Source organism: Homo sapiens, chromosome 13 (genome assembly GCF_000001405.40).
Source record: "Homo sapiens chromosome 13, GRCh38.p14 Primary Assembly".
Classification (NCBI taxonomy): domain Eukaryota; kingdom Metazoa; phylum Chordata; class Mammalia; order Primates; family Hominidae; genus Homo; species Homo sapiens.
The window spans coordinates 34,860,973-34,868,711 of record NC_000013.11 but is presented as its reverse complement, the minus strand read 5'-3'; the positions used below and the strand labels follow the sequence as shown (position 1 = coordinate 34,868,711).

The 7,739-nt window shown below is 38.8% G+C and overlaps 1 annotated feature.

Annotated features, from left to right (window-relative positions):
- Positions 641-1,840: an enhancer, noted in NCBI's record as "MED14-independent group 3 enhancer chr13:35441009-35442208 (GRCh37/hg19 assembly coordinates)". NCBI's record gives its function as "activates an origin of replication core promoter dependent on BRD2, BRD4, P300/CBP and CDK7 cofactors, and independent of MED14, by STARR-seq in HCT116 cells {active_cell/tissue: HCT116}" and the evidence as "EXISTENCE:reporter gene assay evidence [ECO:0000049][PMID:35650434]".

The following is a 7,739-nucleotide window of genomic DNA, read 5'->3' as shown; positions in this document are numbered from 1 at the left end:
TTTTTTACTTTGTCTGTACTGTTTTACTACAGAGGATAAAAGACAACTTTAGATTTAATGAGTCAAATCTGTCAAATTTTTCCCTGTGGATTTTGAGTATCTTGGCATATTTAGGTTTTTACCAAGAAGATGCTAGTTATTTGGATCTTATCCAATAACTAATTCTCAAACAAAGACTATTCCTTCTCTGAGCACTGGTGGTCCATCTTAACACTTGTTCTGGCGTTTCTAGGGACATGAGAGCATATCGAAGGAGAAGGGGAAGGCAAACATCAACTGTGAGCAAGGTGACAAATTCGCTCAACTGTGGTTGAATATGTACAAGTAGAAGATAATGCATAATTGTGCTCATGGATTTTAGGTTCCAGAGAATTGGGTGAGGCTGTGGGAAACTACCGAGAACATTCTCCCCCAAAGCTTCCTGTGGGCGGCACTGGACATCTTACTGATACTGTCTGATTCTGAAATTTGGGACAATCCCACTTAATTTACGTTGATTATAGAAGCTCAAATGTTGCGGACTGCTTGCTGCTAATTAACATCCTAATTATCAGTTAACATCTTAGGAAGGATTTGTACATGGTCAACTGGGAGTGAGACCCAGAAGGAAAGATAGCCTCCCATCTGCTTATACATCTCACATCTTTTACTCAATTTATCCTCATATATTTTGCCCTGGAGGGCAGTTATAGTATATTTTCATATTATAAATGTGGAAACTCTGAAAGAGAACAGAGAAAGTGACTTGTCTCAGGTCATAGAGCTAATCAAAGGGAGAGCTGCATCTGGGCCCTTTTTCCCTGACTCCAGGAAGCTTGGGGTTTCCAATTCTGAGACAGCCTCACAAAGTGGAAGAAATTCAGTCATGCAACCACGCTCACTCGCTTCTTAACCTGGTAAGTACTCTCTGCAAAGAAATCTGAGCTGTGAAAATATCAAAATCAGCTTCAAGCGTGGGAATGACTCAGCAGTATACAAGCTAGTAAGAGACATTAAAAGCATCACTAATTGGTTTAAAATTTTAAAAGCTCACCGTAACACTGGCACTTTCAAATGTGGTCTTATTAGTCCAGGCCCTTTGGCTATCTATACTGACAAAAATTGATGCTTTTTTTAAGTTCATTCACAGAAATCTTTTTTCAAGTGCTTGAATTTCTATAGGAGACAAAAGGTCACATTCTTTTTCATAACCAAATTCCAAGAGAGTTAGAACTAACCTGTACTGGGGAAGATATCCCTAACTCTGATAATACATTTTCCCTTCTGGAAAAGCAATGAAAGGACATACAAAATTTATTTTCTCTACAAAAATTATCCCCCACCCCTGTGGCTTTCCCCAGGGTGAATGTAATATTCTAGTTAAAATATCATCTGAACAGTTCGAAAATCTAAAACAAAAATTAATGTAAAACCAATATGTGTTTGATGTAGATGCAGGGGAGGGAAAATGTCTTCTTTGTCATCTTAGGTTCATTGGCTGCGGCTCCTGTAGCAAAAGATAGATTAACAAGACAAAAGCATGCACATTTATTTAATATAAGTTTTATGTGACATGGGAGTTTTCGTAAAAAAAAAATGAAGCCCCAAAGAAGCAGTGAAACCTGAATGTTTTTACATGAGTTTCGATGGAGGGTGGACAGCTGTGGAGAAATATCACAGGACAAAGGGGGTTGAGCAGAGTATAAAAAGTGGGGGAAATTTAGCAAGGCCTGTTCATTCAGCTTCCTTTCTGTGTGCCTTTATCTTCAGAGATTAAGATGTTCCTTTCCTCCGGGTATAGGAAGGGCACCTCTCACAGGGGGGTTTTAAGACCTGCTTCATGGGAAGGTCAGAAAATGCTTCCTAAGTTTTATGACCTGCTCCGAGAGAGAAGACCAAGAGAGGTCAGGAGGACATCCTTGCTTCTGTTGTTTTCACAAATTCCTTCAGCTTAAAATATTCACTATGTCAGGATGCCACATTTTGCAGTAGTATGTCCTGAACTGCATCATAGAAAACCTGAAAAATACTAGGCTGGGCGGATTACAGGCTCACACCTGTAATCCCAGCATTTTGGCAGGCTGAGGCCGGCAGGTCACTTGAGGTCAGGAGTTTACCAGCCTGGCCAACATGGCGAAACGCTGTGTCTACTAAAAGTACAAAAATTAGCCGGCGTGGTAATGGGCTCCTGCAATCCCAGCTACTCGGTAGGCTGAGGCACTAGAATTGCTTGAACCTGGGAGGCAGAATTTACAGTGAGCCAAGATCGTGCCACTGCACCCTGGCCAGGGCGACAAAGTGAGATGCTGTCTCAAGAAAAAAAAAAAAAAGAAAACTTGAAAAATATCAAAAAATCCAAATCACCCAATCTACAATCTGAAGAGAATTATTATTGCAATGTAGTGATTTTACATACACACACACACACACACACACACACATCCTCCACACACATATGCTGATAAGTGATTAAAGCCATATTGTATGTACTACACAGGATGGCATCAGAGGGCATATGTGGTGTTATTTCCCACCTTTCGGGCCAATAGCAGATATTTAGTGGCCACCGCCTTCTTTCCTGCTGAGCGCAGATGTTATTTCAGAATAACCTTCAATGCAGCACTCCACATAGCCACTACCAAAAAATTTCAAAAACTTTCCCTCATGTATATTGTTTTGTATCTTGACTTTTTTCTCCACTATTTTTTTTCTGGTATGCATTTTCCCAAATCATTAAGAACGGTTTGAAATTATAAAACTGCATAATTTTCCTATAAATATACAAAACTCTAACTCTTAGTATTGGGTGTGTGTTTTTCTGTAAATTTTGCTGTTATAAATAAAGCTGTTGTCCACATCTTTATACTTAAATTTTGGCTGAAACTCTTATTATTTCCTAGGGAAATTTTGCTAGTCTCACTGGGCCAAGAATTGAAAATATTTTCATAATTTTTACTTTATTTAACCAAGTTATTTTTCATAAAAATTAGACCAATTTCATGAGAAAATGTAAGAATCCTGGTCCTAATGAACTTTTACCAACACAAAATATGAACACATTTCAAGTATTTGTTAGTTTTCTAATGGGGAAAAATATACACAGTTTAAATTTGCGATTCTTTTTCTATTAATAAGGTAAATTATTGTTTTATATTTTAGCTCACATTTCTACTGGGATGCTAGAGTTTTATTCATTGATTTGTATAGATTATTTGTATATTATAAATATAAATGCTTTGTGGATGCTGTTATTTCTCAGTTTTAATTTAGCTTATAGTGTCTACTAACATATGGACGGTTTCAATTTTTTTGTAGTCAAATCTGTATACCTTTTATTTTGTGATTCCTTTTATTTATTTATTTGTTTATTTATGTTATGTTATGTTATGAATGGGGAATGTTCTTCCCCATCCAGAAAGAAGAAAAATATTTACCTAAATTTCCTTCCAGCATTCTTCCAGTTTTAAGAAGAATGAAACAGATAATAACAAAATATGGTTAAAGAAAGCCATCTATACCTTGTGAAATTTGTAATAGGCCAGGCAAGGGAGAAAGTAGCTTCCTATGAAAGATGCTTTAACTAAACTGAAAAATTCTGGCTTCAAAATGGCAATCTTCTCACTCATCTTTACAGTGGTATAGATATAGGCCCTGAGGGCTCTTTGTTTTTTATTCCCTCTTCATTAGTGAAAACTATCATATCACAGTTCTTAGCTATCATATTCATTACTGATTAATATTGCAAAGGATCTAATAACCCATTAGCACAGAGCCCAATAGGAATGGTGCCTGAAACCTGTACTTGGGGACAAAGGGCAGAAAGAGGAGCAAATGCTGCAGGCTGGGAAGCAACAAAGGTAAATGCTGCTTGGTTCACAGCTGCTTGGACCTGACACTACCAGGACAGTTGCCAGGATCCATAATGATTTAGTGCAGTTCTTACTCCTACTTCAGAGCCTATGTGAACAGACTATTAGAAGTCCTTTTGATTCTTTTTTTTTTTTTTTTGATACAGAGTTTCCCTCTTGTCACCTAGGCTGGAGTGCAAAGGCATGATCTCGGCTCAGTGCAACCTCTGCCTCCTGGGTTCAAGTTATTCTCCCATCTCAGCCTCCCAAGTAGCTGGGATTACAGGCATCTGCCATAATGCCCAACTAATTTTTGTATTTTTAGTAGAGACGGGGTTTCGCTGTGTTAGTCAGGCTGGTCTCAAACTCTTGACCTCAGGTGATCCACCCGCCTCGGCCTCTTAAAATGCTGGGATTACAGCCGTGAGCCACTTCTCCTGGCCGGAAGTCCCTTTGATTCTATCATCGAACTTTAAATATCACTTACTCTTTTACTGTTTGATCAGTGACAGGCTAAGACACTTTTGCTATCCTGTCCGCTACATGAAAGCTTTATTTTATGGGAGTAAAACTTGCTGACTTGTGCTTTCCATACTAGAAAGTGCAACTGTTTCACAGTAATAAAAATATTAATAATAGCTGCCATTTATTAAGCACTTGTTTGCTTATTATTTAATCTTAATCACCCCATGTGATAGATATTATTATCCTGGTTTTTTAGATAAATTCTAATTCCCAGAGAGGTAAAAACACAACCTGTCCAAGGACACATACCATTTCATAAGATATTTCTGGAGTGACTTCTCAGCGCCAGCGCTGTTTTAAGGGCATTATCTCATTTAATAACCACACTAATCGTCTCAGGCCATTTTAGGAATGGAGAAACAGAGGCTTAGGAAGGTTAAGTATGTTACTCTAGGTCACACACAGCTAGAAGGTGGTAGAACTGGATTTAAACACAGGCACACAAACTCCAAAAGCCTCTTCCGTGCCTTACTAATTGCTGTGTTAACCTTTAAGTAGCAAAGGTGAAATTCAAAACCAGCTCTGAGTGATTCACACAGGAGAGGCCCCCAGATGTGGTGACTAAGCAGTGATGTTTTGTAATCACTTGTGAGATATGTCACATCACTTGAATAATTAAAGCTAATCATTACAGCATGAAAGTTTATGATCTCATACTTTAAAGATCCTTAGAATGTATTGAAATTTTCCTATGTCATTTTACTTCATTCTAATGTATCTTCTTAATGTGGAAAAGGTGGAATAATTCCTGAATTTTGTACACTAGGAATCCAGAGAGAGAGAGCAGAGCAGAGAGGGTTTATCTATGCTCCACAATGTTAGAGTCTCACCAATGGTTGGTGGTTAGAATCAGGTAGAGTGGTGGTTCTCAAACTGTGGTCTCCAAATCACCTGGAAACTTAGAAAGGCAAATTGTCCAGTCCCACCACAGATCTACTGAATCAGAAACTCTAACAGTGGGGCTCAGTCATCTATGTTTTAATGAGCCCTCCAGCTGACTTTGATGCATGCTAAAATTTGAGAGCCAATGATCTAGAAGCATCTTCACTCACACATATGCATTATAGGGTGACTTAAAAGGAGGGGTCAGCTAGGGCTGTCAAGCAGAACACCTGTGCATGATCTCTATGCGGCTTAGGCTTCTCATAACATGGCACCTGGGATCCCAAAGGGAGTTTCTCGAAAGGAAGCATCCAGAGAGCAAGAATTTGAGAAGCAGGTGGAAATTGCATGGCCTTTTCCAACCTAGCCTCAGAAGTCACCCAGCATCACTTTCACTCTATTCTCTTGTTGAAGCAGTTACAAGCCTGCCCAAATTCATGAGGTAGAGACAAAGACCCCACCTCTGGACAGAAGTGCCAAAGAATTTGGAGCCATGTTTTAAAATCTCGAGAATCTGGCCTCTGGCCAGTCTCCCAGATGCAGACTCTGCTTATAGGCTCCCACAAAGTCTCATTGTATTTGGCATCGGGCTCAGACCCTAGACCCACAGGAATGTGATGTGAATAGTTAATATCGAATATGTTGTAGTGCAACATAGGTTGAGAACCATTTCTCTTAACCATTCCATTGTACTTCTCTTAAGAGGATTTTTTGAGAGCCTACTGACACATGTGATTAAAAATATATATAACATATAATATAGAACAGTACATAGGATGTGATTTCAGTGAGTTATATTATTATGTAGAGTTTTAAAATTTAATATTTGAACCTTTCCCTATATTCCATAACATTTATATATTTAGTTTCATGTAATGTTCATTCTCCACTTCTCTGTGTGTAACACACCGTTAACACAGCATAAGACTCTGATGAATCATAGAAGACATGACATAGAGAAGCCATTATCCTGGATATCTTTGAATACCATATTTCTTATAAACAATTTCCACTCAGAGCCTTAGGAGGCAATGGTTACTGGGAATAGTCTGGGATAATAGAGGCTAGTGACCTCTTGACGTGATCATTTAAGCTTAGATGAAAAAAGCATCTCAAGTGCTTTAAAGTCACACTTCCTAAATTCTAAGTAACAATTTAAATTCATCTTCTCTAGGAATGATACATGAATTTTCAGGTGTTCAGATTTCATGCCTATTCTCAGTTTAATTTAACAATACAATCTAAATGAGAAGGTTTAAGAAGGTGTACTAAGGGTTCATTCCATGTACAGAAGTTAACCTAATGCTTTGTTTTGATAAGGAAATGAAACTCTAATATTATGCTTTTTATTATTTAGCCAACTGTTATATTAACCTTTTAAAAACATTTCTAGTAAGTGGAACTTGGGGTTCAAACCAAGTACTGGTAGATCATCCCTTTGGCTTCTATGTTAGGATGTTCTTGTGTTGCTGTCAAGAAATACCTGAGATTGGATAATTTATAAAGAAGAGAGGTTTAGGTGGGGGGCGGTGACTCACGCCTGTAATCCCAGCACTTTGGGAGGCCAAGGCAGGTGGATCACAAGGTCAGGAGTTCGAGACCAGTCTGGCCAACATAGTGAAACCCCGTCTCTACTAAAAATACAAAAAATCAGCTGGGTGTGGTGGTATGCGCCTGTAATCCCAGCTACTCAGGAGGCTGAGGCAGGAGAATTGTGTGAACCTGGGAGGCAGAGGTTGCAGTGAGCTGAGATCGCGCCACTGCACTCCAGACTGGGAGACAGTGCGAGACTCCGTCTCAAAAAAAAAAAAAAAAAAGAAGAAGAAGAAGAGAGGTTTAATTGATTCACGGTTCTGTAAGCTGTCAGGAAACTTTCACTCATGGTAGAAGGTGAAGAGGAGAGCCTTACTCCTCTCTATCACATAGTGAGAGCAGGAGCGAGGGAGAGAGAAGACAGAGGTCCTAGACTTTTAAACAACCACAGCTCGTGTGAACTAATTGAACGAGAACTCGCTCATCACAAAGGGGATGGCGCTAAACCATTCATAAGGGATCCACTTCCATGATCCAACACCTCCCACCAGGCCCCACCTCCAACATTGGGAGTCACATTCCAACATGAGATTTGGGTTAAGAATTCCACTTTAATGAAAGAGTAACTGCAAGAGTAACTGTGCATTTGCAGTTACTGTAGGGATTCAGTATTCTGTCCACTGGTAACAGATTCCTGAAATACTTCTTAATCATTTGTTGTATTGTATCTGAACTCAGATTTTTCCTAGTCTTCAATAGTTTCCATTACCTTCCCAATTTTCTTTTATCCTTGTCTTCCACTTCAAAGAGTGAAATTGTTTCCTTAAATCAATCCATTCAGTTTTTCATTCATTCAGTTACTTATTCATGCATGTCTTTATTCCGTCAATAGCACCAAACGAGGAGCAGAAAGTCTAAAAATGAAGAAGGCATGGTTTTTTTTCTCCAGGAGGCAAGGACACAGATAAGTAA